We start from the raw sequence: 25,367 nt of genomic DNA on the forward strand, positions 1-25,367 counted from the left end.
CCGCTGGAAGGATTTGCACACTGCAGGCAGGGGTGTTGGTGGCATTCTCACTGAGGACGCTGCACACGGAGGAAGAGCCCTCTCCGGCCGGCTTGGCTCTGGAGGGAGTTCAGGAGACCCAGCATGTGTTTCAGGAGCCTTATGGCAGATCACTCATTTTTATTTAGACTTGGATTTCCATTTAGCAAGTTGATCCAATAGTCCCTCCATACCTGAGGTTGTATAGGTGGCTGCCTTATCTCTGTTCCTTCAAGTTCTGGTGACTTCTGAGCCACCACCTCCTGGCCACCTAGACTCAGGATGTCTACAGCTTTGGCCTCAGTTTCCTTAGCTGTAAGATGAAGATTATAATTGTAGTCTCCATAAAGTTTTTGGAAGGATTTAATGATCTAATTCATGTAAAGTACTGATTAAATGTATATACTCATTATATATATAATTTCCCATTTATGTATATATATACGCATTTATAATATAATTTCCCATTATATATATATATATATATACAATGGGAAGGACATAATGCTAAGTGAAATATGCCAGGCACAGAAAGACAAACACTACATCATCTCACTGAAAAGTGGAATCTAAAAAAGTTGAACTCATAGAATCAGAAGTAGAATGGTGTTTGCCAGTGACTAGGGAGTGGGGGAAATGGGAAGATGTTGATCTAAGGGCATAAAGTTTCAATTATACAGGATGAATAGGTTCTAGAGATCATGGTAACTATAGCTGATAATACTATATTGTATACTTGAAATATTATATTATATGATATACAATATATTGTATACTATATTGTACACTCTTTGCTTAGAGAGTGAAAAATGTTCTCATCACACAAAAAGGTAATTATATGAGATGATGGATATGTTAATTAGGTCAATTGTGGTAATCATTTCGCAATGTGTACTTATATCACACGTCATGTTCTGCACCAAAAACACATACGGTTTTTATTTGTCAATTATACTGTACCTCAATAAAACTAGAAATAAACAAATAAATGAGTTTTGAGGAAACTTAAAAAATCTCAGAAGCCAACACTGGTACTTTATATTAACTAAATTCTAGATTTTATTTGGATTTTACTAGGTTTTTCTACTAGTGTCCTGTTCTGTTCCTTGATCCAATCCAGGGCACCGCATTATATTTAGACTTATTTTTATTATCCTTCTCCATTTGTTCTGTAAGAATCCCAGGGACAGGAGCTGTGTCCTCCCTTCCCTCAAGCACAGCACAGTCATGCATGGGGCCATGGCACAACCAGAGCTTGGGGATGTTATCAGTGACTTTGCTCTAAAAACATCTTGTCCCCAAATCTCTGTAATCTGGGGAGATCATTAGGGCCTAGGGTCCTAATGAGCAGTCCTCATTAGGGTAGAGCAGTCCTCAGTGCTCTACCCACCCTCAGCCCCCAGCCTCCTGGAGGACAGAGCCAGGGCATGTGCAGAGGAGGCCTCCTGGGCTCTGGGACACATGGACACATGAAGTCTTTGCATTGTGCTCATGGCAGGGAAGGGGTCACTTTCTGTTTTCCTGAGGCTCTTAAGCCAGCCTTTGGGCCTTCCTCACCATCCCAAGCCAGTGCCAGTCCAATGCTCTCTGCAGAACAGGACCTGTGGCGGGAATCCCTGGGGCCCTAGCTTTCTTTGTAGTATGACTCCTTGGAGTTTAGGCCTCTTCTCTGGGAGCACTGCTTGGAAATTCCACCACTGCGCTTTAGAAGGATCTTTGTTTCATTTCCTGCCTTGGGCCTGTGGTTGTAGAGAGAGGAAGGTGGTGGTCCTAGGGGCATAGGGCCTCCTGGTGTCTTCTGGCTTTGCACTAGACTCTTCCTCTCTGGGCTCAGGCCTGTGTGGCCTGTGATGAGAGGCCTCAACGGGGAGATTCATTCCGGGGTCCACTGAGAGTCTTATGAAGTACAGGTAGCCTCAACCCCCAAATTAGTGCAGAGTTTGAATGAAAATCCTCAGCACTGGCTAGAGAGGGCAGGTCTTTGTCATTCTCTCCCAGGACCTGCTCTTGGGCTGCCTCTGGGGTCTGGCACTTTTAACTGGAGCCATGCTGAAGTCTTGACAGTTTCGGGTCCTAGGCCTTGGAGTTGTGCAGCAGATGCTTTCAGCACCCCAAGTCCCAGGGCACTCCTATCAGGCAGCCAGCCTGCCTGACGATGGAGCCTGGCTGACTACCAAGAAAGTGCACTTAATGTACATTCCTACTCCAAACCTTAAGTACATTAATATTTTGAAACCTCAAATCAGTTTGTTCTCTTAAAAACTAGAACCACATGCCCTCAGAAACATTGTGCTGATGGGCTCTGATTTTTCTTTTCATGAAATGGAAATCACAGGCTGTGGAAGCAGGAGACCTGCGCTCCAGCCCAGCTGTAGCACTAAGTGCCATGTGAGCCTGGGCAGGTCCCTAACCCCAAGGCCTCAATTTCTCTAGCTTAAGGGCCTACCAGCTCTGAGGGTTTATGATCCTAGAGGGAACAGAGACTCTGAAGTTGACTGGTTTATAGGAAAGTTTACTTGAAATCCATGAGGGCCTATGATTGCTTGTAAATGATTAAGATGCATTTTTTTGTAAGTCTAAACACAGGCAAAATGACAAGAATGTAAACAGTGCTTAGAAAGTCCCCTTCTTCTGGTGCCTGTGGATGAGAATCACAGTAAAAGCATGGAAGAGGCAGGAGAAGACAAGGCACTAGCTGGTCATTATGCCCCTGGGGGCCTGTGGCTGCCCAGAACTGGGGCAAACCAGCAGCCTGGACACCGGTTATGGTACCAGTTCCTTAGTTCTCTTCCAGGAACAAGGGCTTGGAGCCTGCAGCCTTAACTTCCCAGCTTCCCTCTGGGAGAGCCCTGCAGAGTTCCTGTTGCCAGCTTTGGATTCTTGTTGGAGCCATGCGACTCAGTGAGGAGGTCCCAGCTAACCAATTTATGGGAAGATGGAGTAGAGACAATAGCGGGAACCCTGTCCTGTGCCTGGCCCTTGCCCTGAGGTGTTTGGCAACAGCATCCACAGAAATCACTAGGTATGGGGTCTTGTGGGATAAGATTATTTTAGGGTGGAAAAGAGTTCTGTGGTTAATAACACAAATTGAAAAAAAATGGTGTAAATGATTGACTTGGTGTCAGTTGGCTAGGGCACCCCTCATGAGGGGGACATGAGTCTATAAGGCTTTATTGTTTTCTTCATCAAGTGTTGACTGAGTGTCTAATCCATCCCAGGTACTATGTTGGGTACCTGACTTGGTGGTGACTGTATGCCGGCTGGGGAGAAGGAATACGAACAGGTGAACCACAGTTGAAGAAGGGGTAACAAATAGCAGACAGGGTGCTTTGGTGAGAGTGGCCAGTGACTCAGATGGGGTAGTCAGGGAAGACTTCTCTGGGGTAGTGCCTTTATACTTAGACCAGAAGGGTTAGGAGGAGCCAGTGTACAAAGGGTGGAGGGAAAGGAATCCCAGGCAACACAACAGCACAGGCTAAGGCTCTAAAGCCAGGAAGGGCTGGGCTCGGGCTACACAGAGTGGTTTGAATGAGTGAGGGAATACAGGCATTGAAGATGCACATGCAGGGTTTCTTTGACTATGTGTCCTGGGTAGTAGGGGGTGGCTTTGGGGTTAGGATGATCATGGGTATACAGGATGCAAAGAGGACTATGTGTGTACCCATCAGAGACCTTGGAATGGACATGCCCTAGATTAAGCACAGCACCCATGCAGCAAAATGCCAAGCTCTTGGCTAAGAAGCTGAAAACCATGGCTCCCTAAGCACTTGTAGAAAGACAGTGAATTAATGCAGCCTTTCCTACATCCACCCGCTTCTCCTGCCAGCCATCGTCAGAGGCCATTCTCATAGTTCGCCCTTTTCTTATGATCATTCATATTCTTCAAAAATATTCTTATATTTCCTGCAGTCTCATTTCTTTAGGTGGCCCATAATTGCTTGGAGAGAAAGCTGTCAGGAGGCCCAGCTCCAGTGCCAGAAATTCTGTGAAGCCTTGTCCAACCTCATAGTCCTTGCTGAGGCCTGTATTCTCTGGCCTGTGTCAGCTTGATTCTCTAAGCCACACACTGTAGACAATTGCTACTCAAAGTTTGGTTTCTCCTTTCTCCTCCCTTTTCCTTGACTGGTACACTCCAAGCTCACTTAGTCATGAGAATGGACGGACATTGCCAGCATTCAAGAGGTCAGAAGTGTGGCAACATTGATTGAGGATGATGCTTCCTTCACATGGGGTGGGAGAGAGCCTCCAGACACAGTGAGTTCCCAGGAACCAGCCGGGTTCATCAGGAGGGTGCTGCCTTGGAGAAGGATGACTCCAGGACAAGGGATGACCCTGAACAAAAAGTGCAGTCACTGATGGAGTGGAACTAAAAAAAAAACAACAACAGAACTCTTTCTTTCAAAGCAACTGACTGTTATTAAGCACCTACTGTTAGCTCAGCCCTGGCCAGGTTCCAGGGAAATGAGAGAAGGTGCTCATTTCAATGTCAGGACCACAAGGTTTGTTTTTTAACGGTGGTTTGCTTAGAGTCAAACAGAACTGAGAACATCCAGTCCCCATCTTTGGATTGAGCCTGTCATCTTTGTGCGTGTGTATGTGTGTGTGTGGTGGGTGGAATGGGGGGCATAGGCAGAGGAGCTCATTTTTTGCTTCCTGATTGCTTTAGGCCTATTTATTGATCAAGAGCTTTGTTTGCTCAGTTTATTCACAGAATAATATACATATGTTGGCCTACTCCCTGCCTTCCTCTCTGGCGCCACTTCCTGACACCCCTACATCCATGCCAGTTATCAATATATTGCCTTTCAGCTCCAAATCTACCCTTATTTTCCTGCTTGTTGATAATGGAGGTGGGCTTTGTAAATATTTTTCCCTTATTGACAAAGAGCATTGGAGGGACACTGGAGAGAGAAGGGGTTTCCCCTTCCTGGTTCCCATGAGCCTGGTCCACCAGGCTCCTACAGAGCATGCTTTCTCCAGGCTTAGGTCCTGAGAGCATGTAGTTTCTGCTGTGCTAGGCTCATGCAGTGAACTCCTTTTCCCAATGCCTTGCTCCTGCAGATGGGGCTTTTTGAGCTCCTATAGTGCCCAGTGACTCACAGCCCCCTCCCTCTCAACCATGTCCTCTGGCAACCTTCCAGTGGAATGCCACACTCATCCTTGTGAGTGGTTTCCCCCAGGACTCCCTCAGGTGACTGTACAGTGAGTTCCTAGGCATGGCATGTGTGGACACCTTCCCCTGACACCTTAGTAGGCAGATTCCCAGCAAGTCCTACCAGCAAGTCATCTGCCTTCATTAGTTTTTTCTCATCCAGTAGGCCATGGCTATCCCCTCTCCAAGATCTTAATCCCAGCCCTAGTGGGAGGAAGAGGCTCTTCTGTGGGCATCAATCTCAGCCCTAGGGGTAGTGGCTGCTACCTATATCTGCTGTTCTTATATTCTTTAACTCTTACCAGAGTTAATTCTGCTCTTTTATTAATAATTCTTCATATTAAACTTTTTTTCTGTTTGAAAATTGCTGTGTGGTTTCTTTGTCCTCATTGGACCTTATGGGCAGAACTTTGAGGAGTGCATTTGCTTGTCCACTAGTGTGAAATGAAAGATAGAAGTATGGATCTACATAGATTTATAGGTAGTTGCTAATGGTTTGGCTGGATAGACAGGAACTTGGAAGGAGCAGGATTGGAAGATTAGTGATAATAAAGTCTGGGGAAGATATATATGGATGGATCTCTCTCATAATGGGCACAAACGGTGAAGATATTTGAGTCCCGTGTGAATGCCCAAAGGGCATCATTACTGTAGAAGAGATTAATAATCAGACAAAATAACATGCTCAGAAGCTGTCAGCCTCTTCCCTCAGCCACCCTAGTGCTTGCTCAATGGGACCATGAACAAAGAAGCCAAGTTGGCAGGGATGGAGGCTATGCAGGAGCTTAACAGGGTGGACTTCCCCTTATAAAGGCTGTACTAATACTATAGCTGCGTGCCTAACCTATCTACAGCAGAGACTAAACACTGAGCCCCTGATATGACACCATTCCCTGGGGGTGAGTAGACAGTCACCTGGTGGCAGATTGATTACAATGGACCTTTTCTATTATGAAGGAGGCAGAGATTTGTCACCATGAGAATAGATATGTATTCTAGAAATCGACTTACCTTCTTTGCACATAGTGCTTCTGCCAGCACCACCATCCATGGATTCACAAAATGCCTATCCACCATTATGACATTCTCCATAGCGTTGCTTCTGATCCAAGAACCCACTTCTCAGCAAAGAAAGTGGTGCAATGGATTAATTCCCATGGAATTAACAGGTCTCACTATATACCCCATTAACTGGAAGTGGCTGGGCTAAATGAAAGGTGCAGTCACTTACAGAAGACTCAGTTGGAGCACCATTTGGGATTAAACACCCTGAAAGGATTGGGTTCTGTCTTAAAGGACATAGTATATGCTTTGAGTCAGAGACCATAATATGGCGTTATTTCCCCATAGCCAGAATACAAGGGTCTGGGAATCAAGGGATATAAATAGAGTTACATCTCTTACTATTATGTCTAGTAATCTATGCACAGAATTTTAGCTTTACACAGGAGCTACAACTATGATTTCATTAAACTGAAAGAAGGATCTGGTCATTTTGGGCTTAAGGACTGTGATAGTCTGAATGTGTCTTCAAAATTCATGTATCAGAAATTTCATCTCCAATGCAACAGTGTTGGGAAGTAGGGCCTAATGCAAGGTGTTTAGGTCATGAGGCCTCCACCTTAATGAGTAGATTAACACCATCATAAAAGGGCTTTTGTGGTGGGTTCACGCTCTTCCACTCTTCTGCCATGTGAGAACACAGCGTTCATCCTCTCTTGCCCTTCCACCTTCCATGGGAAGACATAGCAAGAAGGCCCACACAAGATGCTGGCACCCTGATCTTGGACTTTCCAGCCTCTAGAACTGTGAGAAATAAATTTCTGTTCTTTATAAATTACTCAGTTTCAGGTATCTTGTTATAACTGCATAAACAGACCAGGACAAGGCCACTGAATCAAAAGGCAGAATAAGAAGTTACTCTACTGGCTGGAGTGATTGATCCTGATTACCACGGGATGATTGGATTGCAGCTATATAATGGGGGCAAGAGAGACTATTTCTGGAACCGAGGAGATTCTGTAGGTCACTTCCATACCCACTAGTAAAAGTTAATGGAAAACTACAGTAACCAAAATATAGGCAGGGTAATTGAGGACTCAGAGCCTTCAGGAATTAAGGTTTTGGTCACTCTACCAGGTAAAGACCCCAGTCTGCTGAAGTCCTGACTAAGCATGGGGAAGCACAGATTGGTTAGTAGAAGAAGGAAGCCATAGATATCAATTATAACCTCAAGACAGTGATAGAGACGAGGAGTGTACCAGTTCTGCATATTTTCTCTAGAGGAGGAGGAGACTGCAGGCTAGTTGAGGTACAAAGAGTCAGAGGGAGGGAGAAGACTTTCCCATAAGACAGACCAATCTCCACTCCCCATAAGCTTCCTTTGGAAGATAAAGGAGCTGAAAGCAGTGAGAGCAAAATCAGTAGGCCATGTCCATGATGGGTGGCCAGAGAAGGAATATCTCATTGACAGCGGGTATTTCCTTATGGGATCCAACCTCCAGGACTGAGTTGTTCCAGGAATTGTATAGCCAGACACAGCCACAGGGCAAGCATATACTCAGGGTTCTCATAGGGAATGTTGTTCTCTCTGGGGCTGGGAAGCTTTGGATGGTGGTGAGGGTAGCGGCAGGGCTAACCTGGGACCTGCCATATAGAGCCCCTGTTTCTTAGTGGCAGTGGCAGCCAGAGAGCCACAGCCTGCTTATGTAACAGCCACCAGTGGGACCCAATTGTGACATTTTCAGCAGGAGAGACAAAAATGGGCAACCGTCTAGGGAAAAGGAGTGCCCAAAATTGTGAGTACGGGTTACTAGGTACAATAGTGCAAGAAGGCTGGATTTCTGGGCCCATGTATTACGGCAATGGAAAAAATGGCATCATGTATTGGTTGCTGGTTTAAAATTGCAACTGTAGCCTGTTGGAGAGCCCCCAGTCTTGCAAGGTATGGTCTTGCAACCAGCCGTAGCTAAGGGCTCAGGAGTCGATTCCAATATTCTATAAGGCCAGACGATTCTGGGACATAGGGTTTGTATCAGTTGGGGTTCAGTCAGGGAAGGAGAACCATTATGAGTGAAATGGAATGAAAGATTTCTTTAGGGGATTCAAACTTATGTAAGTGGGGGAGCTGGTGAAGAATTCCACAGAAAGCTGTTTTCTCTGCATCTCATGGTGGGCCTAAAGTTGTTATAGGTTACAGACCTACAGCTCAGGAAGAAACACTGGACATAAAGTGGGCAGGGCAAGGACAAACGAGTCTGTGGTGATGGTTGATTTTATGTATCAACTTGGCTGTGCTACACTACCCAGTTATTTAATCAAACACAAATCTAGATGTGATTAACATCTGCAGTCAGTTGACTTTACATAAAGGAGATTACCTTTCATGATCTGGGTGGGCCTTGTCCAATCAGTCAGAGGCCGTAAGAGCAGAAACTGGGGTTTCCCAGAGAAGAAGAAAGTCTGCCTGTGGCCTGCAGCATCAGCTGCTGCTGGAGTTTCCAGTTCTTCCACATAGACTGCGAGAACTCGGCCTGCCCCACTCCTGTGTGTATTCCTAGCAGTGCTGAGCATAAGGCTTGGCCCAGAGTGGATGCTCAATAAATATTTCCTGTATTGAAACGACATCCATCTGTCGGAGTCAGTGTGAACAGAGCTGTGCCTTGGGGCAGAGGCGGAAGCTGGGGGACCTAGCAGGGCCTTTCCTGTCCTTAGGTCCTATGACATTAAGCGGGAAGCACTCCAGATTGTGAATAGGTTGTTGGGAGACAAAGCGGGAAGCGAATCCGAGATCTATAAAGCAAAAATGAAAATTGAGGGGGAGTGCTGGAAGAGATGCAACTTCAGGGGAAGATTCCAAAACCCCGGCTTTGCTAAGAGTGCTTGCTGCAGGTGAGAACTTACATTGGCTGTTCTGAGGGGCCAGGCGCTTTCTAAGTGCTTCCTGTGTATTAACTCATTTCACTCTCACAAGGACCCCATGAGATAAGTGCTCTTCTGTGCTCCCTGTCTCAAGGATGAGAAAATGGAGGAACAAAAAGTTAAGTAGCTAGAAAAGGATTCATTTCTCCCCCTGGAGGCTTCTTCTCCAGGCAGACCACTCAGACAGTGAGAAGTGGTCCTTTTGTCTATCGCGTCTAATTCCAGCCCAGAGCTCCACTGGATTGTATCTTCCAGAGTTTGCCAAGAAAGTCCCCAAAGGGCTGAGTGAGTTTCCTATCCTCTCAGGGCCCATAGTACGCTCTACATCAGCCCTGGTGGTCTTCAGTGTGGGGACAGATTTCTGTGCAAATCTTTTCACTCAGAGCTGCAGGGCTGGCTTTGTGGCCACATGTGTGATTCATAAAGTTTGCATTTTCCACAGGACTTGGTTTCCAGAGCCTTTTGGCCTGAGCACTACAAGCTTTCAAGAATTTCAGCTGAGAAATGCTATCCACAGATTGCTCAGCTACATGCATCCTCCCCACGGCTGTGAAGTTTGGCATGGGTGTTCTATTATTGCTCTGGGATCAGATTTTGGAATTTTATTTTATTAATATTCTTTTCTGCAAGGATTTGGGAGGGGGGTCTGGAGCAATACTGGTTTCTCCAGGTTCATCATTATTCCCCACTGACATGCATGATTGCCCTCTTTCTGTCAATTTTGACCCCGTTTGCCACGTTGACTCATGTCTTTCTTATCCTGAGGGCTGGTCCTTGTGCAGTGCATGGGAGAGGAGTGTGACTATAGGTGAAGGAATATGTTTAGAATAGCTATAAATTTGCAGTCATCACATTAGTTGGCTTTAAGAACTCTCTGTTTACATTAATTTTTAAAATAAGCTCGGCTTCAAGACTAGGGGTTTGATTTTTGTCCCTCTTGGGACTCCTTCTCCAATCCCCCGCTATCCTGGGTTGTGAAAGTTCTCAGGACCACATTGGCCAGCACACGGGAAGGTGTTCTGGTCCCCATCTCACACTGGCCATCCTGATGTGCTACTTGTCCAATCTGACACAGTCTGGCTAGGGCAGCTTTGCTATTTTTACACCCAGATTGGGCACCAGACTATTGCAAGAGCTGAGATCCCTGGGTCCTGGGTCCTGGTTCCTGCTTTGGAGGTCTGCTAACTTTCTGCCATCCTCCCAGGACACTGGACCTTGCTGATTATGGAACCCCTGAGACACCATCTTCTCCGTGTTCTGGGGACTGTCCCCCTCTCTGTTATGGGTGGTATTGTATCCCCTCCAAAATAGACATGTTGAAATTCTAACTCCTAGTACCTCAGAATGTGACCTTATTTGGAAATGGGGTAATTGCAAATGTAATTAGTTAAATTAAGATGAGGTTATCCTGGAGTATGGCAGGCCCTCAATTCTGGTTTCCTTATCAGAAGAGTAGAAGAGATATGCAGGGAGAAGGCCATGTGATAATAAAGGCAGAGATGGGAGGTATCCATCTGCAAGCCAAGGAACGCCTGGGACTGCCACTGCCAGCAAAACACTGGAAGCTGGGAGGAGGCCAGGAAGAATGCCCCACATGTTTCTGAGGGACCAAGGCCCTGCAGACACCTTGATCTTGAACTTCTTGCCTTTTAAATAGTGAAACAATAATATGCTGTCTGAAGCCACCCAGTTAGTGATACTTTGTTATGGCAGCCCTAGGAAACAAGTATATCCTCCATCTCAGGGTGAGCAGTTTGCCTGCCCCTCCACCCTCTGGGAGCACCCAGCATAACCCCTCCTCAATGGGCATCTGAATGGGCACTCACAATATTGGGTACTCTTCTCAGAGGGTGAGTGTTGCAAAGGTGTTGCTGAGACCAGCCACTTTTCTTCTATTGACCAACCCTGTAATTTAGTTCTACCATGATTCAGTTCCAAGCAGAACTAAATCATACATAGCAGGAGACCAGGGCCAGATAGAGTTTAGAGCCAACATCCAAATACACAAAGTTTTCTTTTCAGTTTACTCTTCTACTGCAGAGACAAAGGTGAGACCCTGGTTTGGTGAAAGATGTTTCTCAGAATGCTGTAGAACAGGGCTTTCTGTGGGAAATGAAGACTTATGAAAGTCAAATGTTTGTGAAATGCAAACTCTTGCATATTTTTATGGCACATGGCAGTCATAACCACGACATGAGCTATGGAATAAAGGAAACCAACAGTTATCCCTTGCTCTTTGTGTATACAGAGAGTAACGTTGCTTTTTGGCAGTGATCAGAAGGGGAACTGTCGTTTACAGACTGCTGTTCAAAGTGACTGGGAGATGGGAGTCCCAAGTAAGTTCTCTTGATCCTCATTTTGCAGAGTTCCCTCTAGCATGACAGGCCCTACTGGGCTCTGAATAAAGAGCTACTGACTGTGTGTATCTAGTCTAAATTCCCTGGGCAGGAGTGTCAGCAGCACTTGCCAGCCTGCATTTGCCATGAGCAGGTTGCTGTGGGTGACAGCCAACTGGAAGAAATGCATTAGCCCGATGAACTGACCTCCAGGGACTTCCTCTCTTTACTGTAGACCCTTCTGATCTTTTACAAAAACTCGTAATTTAGATGGAGAACTCACTCACTATCATGAGAATAGCAAAGGGGAAATCTGCCCCTATAATCTAATCCACTCCCACCAGGTCCCTCCCCCAACATTGGGAATTATAATTAGACATGAGATTTAGGTGGGGACACAGAGCCAAACCATATCATTGTGCTCCTGGCCACTCCAAAATCTCATGTCCTTCTCACATTTCAAAACACAGTCATGCCTTCCCAGCAATCCCACAAAGTCTTAACTCATTAACTCAAAAGTTCAGGTCCAAAGTTTAATCTGAGACAAGGCAAGTCCCTTCTGCCTATAAGCCTGTAAAATGAAAAACAAGTTAATTACTTTCAAGATACAATGGAGGTACAGGCATAGGGTTAATGCTCCCATTCCAAAAGGGAGAAATTAGTCAAAACAAAGGAGCTACAGGCTCTGTGCAAGTCTGAAACCCAGCAAGGCAGTCATTAAATTTTAAAGCCCCAGAAAAATCTCCTTTGACTTCGTGTCTCATATCCAGGGCACACTGATGCTAAGGGTGGGCTCCCAAGGCCTTGGGCATCTCCATCCCTATGGCACTGCAGGGTATAGCCCTCTCAACTGCTTTCATGTGCTGGCATTGAGTGCCTGCAGCCTTTCCAGGCTCATGGTGCAAGCTATTGGTGGGTCTACCATTCTGGGGTCTGGAGGATTATGGCCCTCTTCTCACAGCTCCACTATGCAGTGCCCTAGTGGGGACTGTCTGTGGGCGCTCCAACCCCACATGTCTCCTCTGCACTGCCCTAGCAGAGGTTCTCCATGAGGGCTCTACCCTGCAGCAGACTTCTGCCTAGACATCAGGTATTCCCATAAATCCTTTGAAATCTAGGTGGAGGCTAGATTTCAAACCTCAGCTCTTGCCTTCTGCATACCTGCAGGACCAATACTCCATAGAAGCTGCCAAGGCTTGGGGCTTACACCCTCTCAAGCAACAGTCTGAGTTATACTTGGCCTCTTTTAGTCATGGCTGGAGCTGGAGTGTCTGGGACACAGGGCACCATGTCTTGAGGCTGCACAGAGCAGCGGGGCCCTGGGTCTGGCCCACAAAACCATTTTTTCCCTCTTATGCCTCTAGACCCGTGATGGGAGGGGCTGCTGCTAAGGTCTCTGAAATGCCCTGAAGGCATTTTCCCTATTGTCTTGGCTATTAACATTCTGCTCCCTTGAGTTTTTCTCCCATAAAATGGGTTTTTCTTTTCTACAACATGGTCGATCTGCAAATTTTCCAAACTTTTATTCTCTGTTTCCCTTTTAAATATAAATTCTAGTTTTAGGTCATTTCTTTGTTATGAAAATGAGTGTAGGCTTTTAGAAGCAGTCAGGCCACATCTTGAATGCTTTTCTGCTTAGAAATTTCTTCCACCAGATACCATAAATCATCTCTCAAAGTTCAAAGTTTCACAGATCTCTAAAGCAGGGGCACAATGCTGCCAATCTCTTTGCTAAAGCATAGCAAGAGGGACCTTTACTCCAGTTCCTAATAAGTTCCTCATCTTCATCTGAGATCTAATCAGCCTGGCCATCTTTGTCCATATCACCATCAGCATTTTGGTCAAAACTATTCAACAAGTCTCTAGGAAATTCCGAACCTTTCCTCATCTTCCTGTCTTCTTCTGAGCCCTCCAAAGTCTTCCAACCTCTGCTCATTATCCAGTTCCAAAGTTGCTTTGACATTTTCAGGTATCTTTATAGCAATGCCCCCTTTCTGGTACCAATTTTCTTGTATTAGTCTGTTCTCACACTGCTGTAAATAACTACCTGAGACTGGGTGATTTATAAAGAAAAGAGGTTTAATTGGCTCACAGTTCTGCAGGTTGTACAGGAAGCATGCCTGGGGAAGCCTCAGGAAACTTACAATCATGGTGGAAGGTGAAGAGGAAGCAAGCACATCTTCACATAGCAGCAGGAGAGAGAGAAAGTAAAGGGGGAAGTGCTACATGCTTTTAAACAGCCAGATAGCATAAGAACTCAACTCATTATCACAAGAACAGCAAGAGGGAAATCTGCCCCCATGATTCAATCACCTCCCACCAGGTGTCCCACCCACCTTCGGGAATTACAGTTCAACATGTGATTTGGGTGGGGACACAGAGGCAAACCATAACAGTGTTGAAGCACAAATGGTTTTGGTATATAGCTGCACTTGATATTGGATGCCTCCACTCATTCCTTGGGCCTTTAATTGTGCATACATAAAAATTGGCTCATCTAGTGGGGTTCTAAGCTTGGAATTTTCAGCTGTGGAGGCTTTTGTTTTTCAAATTAAACTCTTTTTGAGATTCACATGCAGTTGTAAAAAATAATACAGAGATATCCTCTACACACTTTACCTAGCTTCCCCCATGATAACATCTTGCAAAACCATAGTGAAATATCACAACCAGAATATCAATGATGATACAATCAAGATGCAGTGAGTTCGATCACCACCATAATCCAACCCCACCCAACTCTGTCCCTAGTCCCTGACAACCACTACTATGGTCTCCATTTCTATGCTTTTGAAAGACATGGTATTCATCAGGTCAATCTTGGTGAAGTTGACTTTATTCCTCACTAGTGTCCTAAGCCCTCTGCCATTTGGATGGATAAAGAAGCTGTTCTCCATGCTGTTTACAAGGTCAGCATCATAGTGGCTAACTATGCAGGCTCCAGAGGCAGTTTTTTTAGGTTTGAATTCTACCTATCAAAATTACTAGCTGTGTGACCTAAGACAAGTTACCTGACTTCTCTATGACTCAGGTTTTTTTTGTATAGGAAGTGCGGATGATAATAAAAGGACTCAGCTGAGAAGATTGTTAAAGGATTAACTGAGTTAATAGATCTAAGTATGAAGAACAGTGCTTCTCAAGCTTTCGTGTCATACAATTACCTGGGTCTTGTTAAAATGCAGCTTCTGATTCAGCAGTTGGGGTCTGAGATGCTGCATGTCTAACAAGTCCCCGGGTGCTGCTGCTGCTGGTCCACAGCCCACACTCTGAGCAGCAGGAACTCAGAACAGTGCCAGGCCAGAGTAAGCACTCAGTAATTGTTGGTTATGTTTTCTCAGCATGAGTCTGAAGCTATGCTGGACAGAACCCAAAGCAGTGAACCTTAGCTTCAAGGCTCAGACTCTGGAATGCCCCTGACTTTGTCAGTCCCAGGGCCAGACTGGACCTCTGAGAATGAGGCAGACAGCCCTAAAGGAAATGGGTGAGAGTGCAGTTGGTGCCCTTGGTCCCAAATCTCTATCTTAGTGCTGCTTCCTACAGGAAGAGGCAGGCCTCAGGAGTTCCCTAGCTCCCTCACCAGCTTCCTGTCTGCCTCCAGAACAGCAGCTCCTGCAGCTGCCTCTCTTCCTTCACCGGATAGGCAGATGCGGGGAGAGACAGCAGTTTCAGACAGATGAGAGAAGCAAGAACACCTGTGCCCAGGTAGCTGGGAGCAGCTCTAAATTGCCAAAGGTTGGCCTGCTCTTATTACATCAGTGACAGTAATGGGGTTGACAACTGTGCCCAGGGAGCAGTTCTACAATGCTCCTTTATGGAGTCTTTGTGCCCTAGGTTGCCATGGTTCCCAGACCTGAGCCAGCAGCCTTGGGTAAGGTGAGCAAACTGGGATTTTTCTGACAGTTGCAAAGCCACCTTCCAGGCATTAAATCCCACAAAAAACATGGCCTCCTTGTGAAAATACACCTGGCACATCACTGTATAAAGCTAAAAGCCTCACTCCTTTTCTTCCCTCCCCGGTCCTTTTCTCAAGGAGTAACCACTATCAACTGACTGGTGTGTGTCTTTCTGCTACTCTCTCTAGGGGTGCATATTATACATTCATATATAAACAATAATGAATCATACTATGCACATTGCCTCACTACTTCAACTTGCTTTTCTCACTTCAGAATAAATCCTGGACTTTTAAATTTTTTGACCGTATTAACCTGGGGATCTGCCTCATTACTCTTAACAGCTACACCCTACAGTGTGGATATACCACAGTGTAGTTTACTCATGCTTCACAGATGAACGTTCAGTTTGTGTCCAAGTTTTTGCCTTTACAAGTTGCAGTAAACATTCTCAAGAATAGGTGCCTGAGAGTGGCATCATCAGAGCAAAATGCATATTCATTTTTGATAGGTGGTGCCCTATGAAAAGATCATACCCCCCACTATTAACCTTCCACTGGCAATGCATACAAATCCCTTCCACACACCCACCCCTGCTGTGGCAAGCTATGAACAAGCTGTTTGATTTTTGTCAGACTGCTAGGGAAAGATAACATCTTGTGCTTGTTTCAAGTTGCATTTCTCTAATCATTAGAATGGTGGAGCATCTCTTCTGAGGTTTATTTGCCATCTGCATCTCATGAAATCAGGATCCTAGTAACCCCCTGGCCAGGATACGCTGCCTGCCTGGCTCAGCTCACCACTGAGAGCTTCACGGGAGGAGGTAAGCAGTATTTATTTGTTTAACTTAAAGACTTTGCTGCAGAAGCAGTCACTGCAGTCCCCAGAGGGCCTGCAGCTCATGTTGGAAGAAAGAAGAAAGCTTCCATGTGACCCTAAACTCTTTCTGTTCTGGTAACTGTTAGTCGTCATTCTGTGTCTGTGATGGTGCAACTCCTGCTAGCCCCTGTGTCCAAATAAGAGGCCCATCTGTGGGTCTGCATGGTCCTAATACAGAGAGATACAGCCAATGGGGAGACCCCTGGGCCTGGGGCCAGCAGACCTGAGTTCAAATCCTGGCTCTTCCTGTTGAAGGCAGGGGTGAGCTTCCCCCAGCTTACCTCCTCCTCATTCTCTTTGCCGTCTTGCAGCTTTTGACCTGCCTCTCCCCCTCAGGTCCCTTGGGAGCAAGGGGTGAGCTTTTGCTTCTGTGACACTACTGTTGCCAGCTTCTTTCTCTGTTCTGTCACCACTCTTTCCCTCCTGCCTTCGAAGGGTCCTTCTCTCAGTGTCCTCCAATTCCCCCTCTATACATTCCAGGTGCATCCCAATAATATCCACTAGGGCGGCTTCAGTGTCATCTCCTGCACCAGGCAGGAGCTCTCTCCTGGGTTCCAGCTCACATTCTCCACTGCCTTCGGAGCAATTCTGCCTGGTGCCCTGTGCCCAGGAATGCTCACAATGTTCACTTTCCAGTGTGTTTCTCCCTAAAGCTGATCCTTTGTGCTGTGAATTAGTCAGTCACTCAAGCCAAAGACCTCAAGAGTCAGCCTTTGGGTTCTCCCTCTCTGTTGCTAGGAATTTTTCCATGACATATCATTGCTCACTGAATAAAATTCAGGTTCTTTGGATTTTGCCCCAGCTGAATTTCCTGGTTTTCCTTCTCTGAGTTCCCTACATGTATCTTACATTCAAGTCAAATCAGGCTACTTATAATTACTCCTGTAATCATACTTTCTGATCTCTGTACTTAGAACAGAGTTTCTCAGCCTTGGCATGATTGACATGTTGAGCCAGATACTTTTTTGTTGAGGGAGCCGTTTTGTGTATTGCAGGATGTTTGGTAGCATCTTGACTTCTCTCCAGTAGTATCACCCTGTCCCCAGTCATAACAACTAAAAATGTCTGTAGACATTACCAAAGGTCCAACCCCTGGGGGACAAAAATCATACTCTGGTAAGAACCAGTGCTCTAAAGTAATATCATTTCATCTGCATGGAAATCCTTCTCCCATGTCTCTTCATCCCTGATTTGTAATATAGTGATACATTTAAAAAGCAAATTACAGAAAAGTATACACCATGATTGTTATGTGTGCAAGTGAATGAAGACTGGAACAGGTACACAAAAATGAACACAGCTATGTAAACTGCGTTTCTGTGGGCTACTCTTGTGTGGAGTTTAAAATGTGGCCACTTTTTACAGGACCAGACTGCATTTGGTTATCTCTCACCTCCACCTGTTATCACAAGATTCTGGCCCCAGAAATTCCTGGGAGTCCTTTTGGCCTCACAAAAAAAAAATCTCATGACAGACAAGTTCCCCTCCCATGGAATCTGCACTGGCCTCAGGCACCTGTCAGGCTGGGTGATGCCCGTACATGAGCCACCTGCCAGGCACTGATGTCCTCCACCACGCACATGGGTCCTTGGGGTCCTGATGTGGCACTGCATCTGTGGGAAGCCTCAGGGTGTCACAATCTCTTTGTATTCTCTGCAGTCAAGAGTCAGCCCTTGGGTCCTCCCTCTCTGTTGCTAGGAATTTTTCCATGACATCCCATTGCCCACTGAATAAAATTTAGGTTCTTCAGTTCTCTGCAGAACCATGGACATGTGATTTTAGTAAAGTTACTCTTTGCCACTTAGATAGGAACCCATGGAAGGCTGGGCTGGGCTTCAAATCCAAGAGACAGATATGGCGACAGACTCATCATTCTGACCACCTTGGCTTTGTCACTGATCCAGCACATTGTGCCTGATGCTGTCCCAGCAAGTTCCCATATCTCTTGGGCAAATGGACCCTGGTGACCTACCTCCAGCTCTCTAGCCCAAACATGTCTGCATTCCAGTGGTGAGCATGGACCGATCTAGAATGGACCTTCTGTTGTAATGGGAAGCAGGATTATGAATTTCTTTTATTTCAATAACTTTTAGGGTACAAGTGGTTTTTGGTTACATAAATGAATTGTTTAGCGGTCAAGTCAGATTTTGGTGCACCCTTCACCCAAGCAGTTTACATTGTACCCAATATACAGTTTTTTATTCCTCACCCCCAACTTCCCCCTAAGTCTCCGTAGTCCATTATATCACTCTGTTTGCCTTTGCATACCCATAGCTTAGTTCTCACTTATAAATGAAGACACACAGTATTTAATTTTCCATTCCTGAGTGATTTCACTTAACATAAGGGCCTCCAGCTCCATCTAAGTTGCTGCAAAAGACATTATTTTTTTTGTGGCTGAGTAGTATTACATGGTGTATATAAACCACATTTTTTTAATCCACTCATTGGTCGATGGGTGCTTAGGTTGGTTCCATATCTTTGCAATTGTGAATTGTGCTGCATTAAACACACACATGCAAGTGTCTTTTTGATATACTGACTTCTTTTCCTTTGGGTAGATACCCAGCAGTGGGATTGCTGGATTGAATGGTAGATCTACTTTAAATTCTTTAACCAATCTCCATACTGTTTTCCATAGAGGTTGTACTAATTTACATTCCCACCAGCAGTGTATAATCATTTCCTTTTTACCACATCCATGCCAACATCTATTGTTTCTTGACATTTTATTAATGGCCATTCTTGTAAAAGTAAGGTGGTATGTCATTGTAGTTTTAATTTGCATTTTCCTGATGATTAGTGATTTTGAGCATTTTTTTCATGTTTGTTGGCTATTTGTATATCCTCTTTTGAGAAATGTCTGTTCTTGTCATCTGCCCACTTTTTGATGGGATTATTTGTTGTTTTTTTTCTTGCTGATTTGAGTTCCTTGTAGATTCTGGATACTAGTCCTTTGTTGGATGCGTAGTTGGCAAATATTTTCTCTTATTCTGTGGATTGTCTGTTTACTCTGATGATTATTTCTTTTGCTGTACAAAAGCTTTTTAGTTTAATTAGGTTTCATTTATTTATTTTTGTTTATTTTATTTTATTTTTTGCATTTGCTTTGGGGTCTTAGTCATGAATTCTTTGCCAATGTCCAGAATAGTTTTTCCTAGATTATCTTCTAGAATTGTTATGGTTTCAGGTCTTAGATTTAAGCCTCTGATCTATCTTGCGTTGATTTTTGTATAAGGTGAGAGATAGGGATCGCGTTTTACATGTGGCTAGCAAGTTTTCCCAGCACCATTTATTAAATAAGGTGTCCTTTCCCCAGTTTATGTTTTTGTATGCTTTGATAAATGACTTTTTGATACTAAATTTTCTTAAACACTCTTGTTATTCTTTTTGAAAAAAAAAAATCAGATTCATCCTTGAGTCCTGCCTCCAAGATTTCTGAGCTTCCGTGAGGCCTCTTTGCTCCCAATATGATGAAATGTGGGCTCTTTCTCTCCTTCCAGGTCCCACACTTTGGCCTTCTCATGGGACCTTTCATAGCTCTGCTCTGTAGAATACTTATTTGGGTACTTTTTTCCTCTCTCTCTCTAATGTGGACTGTCCTTGAAGACTTGCCTTAAACCCACTGTGAGCACCATCACTGTTAGGTGAAACTCCAATGTGTGATTTGACTCCTTGAGCATATAGCGGTCATCCTGTGCCATGAACCAGTGACAGAGGTGAACTGTCTGTAACACAAGGTCCTTCTGTGGACCATCCAGGACACCAGGATCCTGACCAGCTCTGCCACCATTCACTAAGACCCTGGCCAGCTCTCATAACTTCACGTCTCAGTGTCCCATCCACAAAGTGGGGGAAACAGCCCCTACCCCAGAGATCTGGTGAGACTATGTATTTAAGTGCACTGAACCACTAGAGGAGAACTTCTCCATTTATTAGAGGGCTAATTTTAGCAATCTGTATATTTTAGACCAGGAAATAGTGATGCAGTTTTTCAGTAAAATACCCCGGGGATCTGCTGTCTTCAGATATCTTTCACATAAAGAGCTTATGTTCAGGAAGAACTCAGCAGGCTAGGGTAAGGATTGAAACCCAATTCTAATCACTCCTGGCCTACATCCTTCTGCTCCTCGATGTTTACCTGTAGTCTTGGGGGGAACTTCTAGAAACAGGGACCAACTTATAGCCACGGCTGAAAACTAGGGCCCTCACTCTGGGACATGAAGGCCCTAGGAAGATTTGGAAAAGCTTTGATTTCTAATAGAAGCCTGTGGTTCAGGGCATCAGAGAGAGAGAGAGAGAGAGAGAGAGAGAGAGAGAATTAGTTTAGGGGAAGGAAACCTTGTATTTTAGGAACCCAATTGAGAGTTGTAAGGAATCTGGGGATCATAGTTGCTGCTTATTTAGAAAAGGAAAGCTATTTTCCTATCCCTACCTTGCTCATTTTGGAGGGCCAAGGGTGTAGGGTGGTGACTATGGGGAAAGGCGGGAGGAGATTCAATGGGAACAATGCCTCACTGTTCCAGAATTACAGGAATAAGGTTTACCATGAACAGATTTCCCAGAATACAGAATATTGGTCCAATGAGGAGATTTTGAAAGAGTATAATCATTTGGGAATGGAATCTTTCTAATGGGTGTGGGATCTTTTCTGGCTTTTTAAAAGGAGTACATGGAATGGTATTTGGCTTTTTCCATATCTCAGCTTTATTCACTTTGCCCTGAGCTCTAGCCAATCTCCTATTTCATGTTCTGGAACATGCCCATACTTTTCCATCTCTGAGCCTGTGCTGCCCTTGCCTCTGTGTGCCTGTACCTATGCATCTTCCACTCTGTATTCTAAAAGCACTCTGCTTGGCATTGTGAAATGGGATATACAAAATGGTACCACTCTGGTTCAGAGCTCTAAAATGGAGTTGGAGTTAGGCCATTCTAAAAAGGATTGCCTGCGTGTCCTGCAAACTGGCAAAACAAAACAGAAACTTGCTTTGAACCTTTGAAGTATGCCAAAGTACAATGACCACAACATCCTGGAAAACAAATGAATTTCACCAGTGCTGCAACTCCCGAACAGTAACAACCAATGAGCTATGGGCTCATGTGCTAAGCCAGCTGCGTCCACCAATAATAATCCTTTCAAAACAGCTTGTGTAACCACCCTTAGCTTTCTTGTTATTTTCTCTTAAAAACCCCCTACTCCCTTCCCTCTCTTTGGAATATAATTTGGCTTCGAGCTGAATCTGTATCTCCCAAATTGTGATTCCTAAGACTCCAGTGAATACCTTGTCTTACTGCTTTGCTCTCTGGTCTTTTGCCTCTTCTTGGTTGACAGCATTTAGCACACACAGTTGGTGCCAAATAAATACCTTTGAATGAATGACGTAAAGCCATAAAAAATCCTGTCATTTAAAAGTTCTGTCCACTTGGTGAAACACCTTCATTGTTTCTTTCAAATAGTAATGTTTTCACAGGCATTCAGGAGGGAAAAAGATTGTTCACTCACTCTATAAACATTGCATCACTTCCTGCTTTGACCCAGGCACAACGCCTTAGTCTCACCTGTGGAGCTAAGTGCATGGGCTTTGTGACTGCTCTTTCCTGAGTATAAAATCTATTTAGAAATTTCTGGGGTGTGAAGACATAGTCCTGGCCTCTCTGAAAGTTGTAGCAGCCAGTGCAAGAGTCCAGTGGAAGAGCTTTCCAGGGCCAAGAAAGGGCTTCATTCACACTCTAAGATGTCATAATACCTAATAAGCAATCATGAATGGTGGTTGGGTTAATTCCTAATCTGGTGTTTAAAATCTCAACTAATAAATATTGGCACTAACAAGCGGCCAGAGATTTCATCATAATGACCAAATGATCAAAACTCAGGATCCTATAAGCTGAGAAGTTTAAGACTTATGGATCAAAAATGAATATGAGCTATTTATATACGCAGCAAAGTTAAATGTAACCTTATATCCATAAAATATACCTAGAAGAGTGAAGTTGAAATAGTAGTGACAACCTGCCACCTTCTAATTTCTGAAACATCTTCTTGCAAGCATCAGTCTAGTCAGGCTCTGGCTACATCCTGTTGTCAGTGACTTGAGGTTATTAGCAGCTACCTGGTGCTATTTGATATACTCATATCAAATAATTTAAGTCAATTAGAGGACATTTATCGAACACCTACATGAGCCTGACATAGTGGAACATAGACATGTATAAGCACTGATGTTTTCCTTGAAGGACTCACTGTTTAGTGTGAGACAAACAAATGTATGAAAAGCAACATCATAACCCAGAACATCAATCACAGCTGCCACCTTTGACCTATGGACTTGCACAAAGCAGCAAACAGGGGATGAAGAATTAAAAGAGGGAGAAAGTTCTTTAGGGGCTCTGTTCCCTAAGCCAGCAACATAGGATAATTAGCATGTCTTCCTTGCTTTCATCCAGAAATAGATAATGCAAAGATTAAACAAAGCAATTTAACACAATAGGTATATAATGAGCATCAGCTCTGGGAGGGGCTTTCTGGGAAAGGCAAAGATAAAATATCCATGGTGTGTGACTTCAAAGATGTCATAGCTCAGTGAGGGAGGCAGGACAAGTGTTTGGGTTATTCTAATAAAAGAGAATGTCAGTAATAATAATAATGACAGCTATCCTTCAGTGAGCACTCAGGATATGCTAGGCACAGTGCTAAGTTTCTATCATGCACACACACACCACACCTGTTCTGTGATGTCAATGCACTTGTCATGTTTTATCTTTTAAGAAACAGGCCATGAGAGGCCAGTTGATGTGCCTAGGATAACATGGCCTTCAAAGAACCTATCTGATATCTAAATCCAGACCTGTCTTCTCCCCAGCCTGAGCATTCAGCCTCTGTCATGCATCCTGGGAAGAGAGGCTTACAGGAGATGCTCTGGGGCCTGGAGGTGGGAAAGGACACTTCTGGATAGGGGCTGCCTTCTTGGGTTCTCCCACCAGCAGACTCTGAGAGAAGGATTTGTGTGCAAGTTGCTTATTGGGAAGTGATGCCAGGAAGCACCTATCTGGGGGGAGGGATGTGAAACAGAAGGGAAGGGATGGAACTCAAGCAGAAATACATAATCTAGCAAACTACCTCTGTGGGCAACGGGATGTCACTTCCACTGGGGAGCTCAGTGTGACAACATAGACCACGGCTCAGAGTTATCCTAACTGAGTGGTGAAGCAGCTGGGGATTTTATCACCATGCCCACCATCTGTCATTAGTTGAGGGCTGCTTCTAAGAGCCTTAACTCTCAGGAACTCTGGCTTGCCTGTGTGCTGTCCAAGAATGTGCCTCACAGCTAGCAAAAAGCCACCCAGCAGGGAGACTCTGAGTTCTCAATGAACAGCCTCATGCACAGAGGTGAGTGCACTGTTCTAGGTATGTCTCAGAGTCTGTGTTCCCTGGGCAATGGTGCCCGAGGCTGAGGGATGAGATGGCAATGCAAGTCCCTGCTCCCCTCCTATGCTGAGGAGGCAGCATGCTGTGCTTGAGGTTGAAGCCCCAGTCATTAACTTCTTTCCAGAATTAGAGGTCTCTGTTCTCCATGATGGTGAGTTCAAGCCTAGCAGAGAGCAATTTCTTACCCATAAACACGCATAGGTACTTTGCAGACCTTCCCGTGATGACTGGAATGATGTCCCTGCAATTTAGAGATCAATTAACTGGGAGTTTCTTAGTAAATCGTTGTAGAAGCCTTTGTAGATAAGTTTTTCAAGTCATCCCAGATTTCAGGGCAGTAGACCTGAATTTGAGTCTTAGCTTTGCCACTTATAAAGCTCTGTGGCTTTGGAGAGTCCCTTAACTTTTCTGAGTCTCAGGTGTGAAAAGGGAGTATCAAGCAGGCCAGCCTTTCTGGTTTCTTGACCAGCTAGCAGGTCAAGCTGTCTCACCCAGCATAGAGCTAGGGGGCTTTCTGCAGAACATAGACAAATGATCCGTTGTGCAAGCTCTTTTCAGTTTTTAAATAGAGCTGCAGGCTAGAGGCCTCCCAGATCTCGTTCTAGGGCTCCCTGCTGTAGTCTTTTCCAGGCACGGACACAGAGTGGAGGGTTGGAGCATGGGCTTTGCAACCAGCAGGCTCTGGTAGAGTCCTGGTTCTGCTGCTCACTGGCAGTATCACTCTAGGCAAACCACTTAACCATTTTGAGCCTCAGTTCCCTCAGTTGCAGTATGAAGATATTCAACTCAATTCTTCTTAGTATGGTGAGGATTAAATCAGATAGTGCATGTTCAGTGCTTTGCATGGTGTGCTGTAAATATTAGCCTCTTGTTATCATAGCTTTGTCCTGAAAGGGGTCTCACTCGGTAGAGCTGGGAGGAAGCATTCAACGTTTTGCGAGTCTCCTGGAAGAAGTACTGACGTCATGGAAGCAGACGCTCTTTGCCTGTCTCTGTCTGTAATTGTCAGTCTTTGTTCTCTTCCACAATTAGACATATCAGATTCAAAAGGGACATTGTCTCATACTAATGAATAGATTAATAGCCTCCCTCCCCAGATGCAAGAGACTTTATCAGCCTCTTGAAATGTGGATGATATCTCAGAAAGGGAGTTTTATGAAGCGATGCCTAAATAAATGATTAATCCCTGGTATACCTGAGACTCAGTCTTGGCTGAGAGGTTGGGGCCTGCTGTCATGGCACGGACGAATGGCTTGGGGGTCAGTGTTGGGATACATGAAGTGGGTGCCCAGGAGCTAGCTGGCTCCTAGCCAGCTGTGTGGGGAAAGATGAAAAACCTAACTCTAACATCAGAGAGTGGAATAAGGGCCGAAGGAGCTAGAGGAAGGAAAAGGAATGCCTTTTAATCTTGGGCTCAAGCTTGCAATTCACAGGTGTGCCCATACAAGCCCAGACCTGGAGCTGGGAAGTTTGTCACTGATAAGCTGGTGGACACTGTGCTAGCCTTTTTTCCTTTATGTAGCAGGCTCTCTAGAAGGCTGGCCATGGTGCCCTTGGCTGAATCTTTTCTGGCCTGGTGTTAGCCTCTAGGTTTGCACAATATCAGTTCCATTTCTTGCTCTGGTTTGGGGTACAGACCAGATAAGTCAATATGCTGTATGTGAGAGGTTCCTCTTTTGTCTTCCTGAAGAAACCCACCCAAGAGTCTGTTTCCTTTATCCCTGAATGCATATCCCAGCTGG

At 44.9% G+C, this 25,367-nt stretch overlaps 1 protein-coding gene and 1 long non-coding RNA gene across 3 annotated transcripts in view; one reads left to right on the plus strand and one right to left on the minus strand.

Annotated features, from left to right (window-relative positions):
* The window catches only part of SLC25A48 (solute carrier family 25 member 48), a 309,466-nt gene that overhangs the window by 67,002 nt on the left and 217,097 nt on the right, over positions 1-25,367 (plus strand). The gene's annotated exons all lie outside the window — the stretch shown is intronic.
* Positions 2,510-7,762, minus strand: SLC25A48-AS1 (SLC25A48 antisense RNA 1). Its single transcript, NR_027127.1, has 3 exons — positions 7,669-7,762; positions 6,182-6,288; positions 2,510-4,350 (listed from the first exon to the last, which is right to left on the minus strand). It is a non-coding gene; the product is annotated as an SLC25A48 antisense RNA 1 (long non-coding RNA).

Source organism: Homo sapiens, chromosome 5, assembly GCF_000001405.40.
Source record: "Homo sapiens chromosome 5, GRCh38.p14 Primary Assembly".
Classification (NCBI taxonomy): domain Eukaryota; kingdom Metazoa; phylum Chordata; class Mammalia; order Primates; family Hominidae; genus Homo; species Homo sapiens.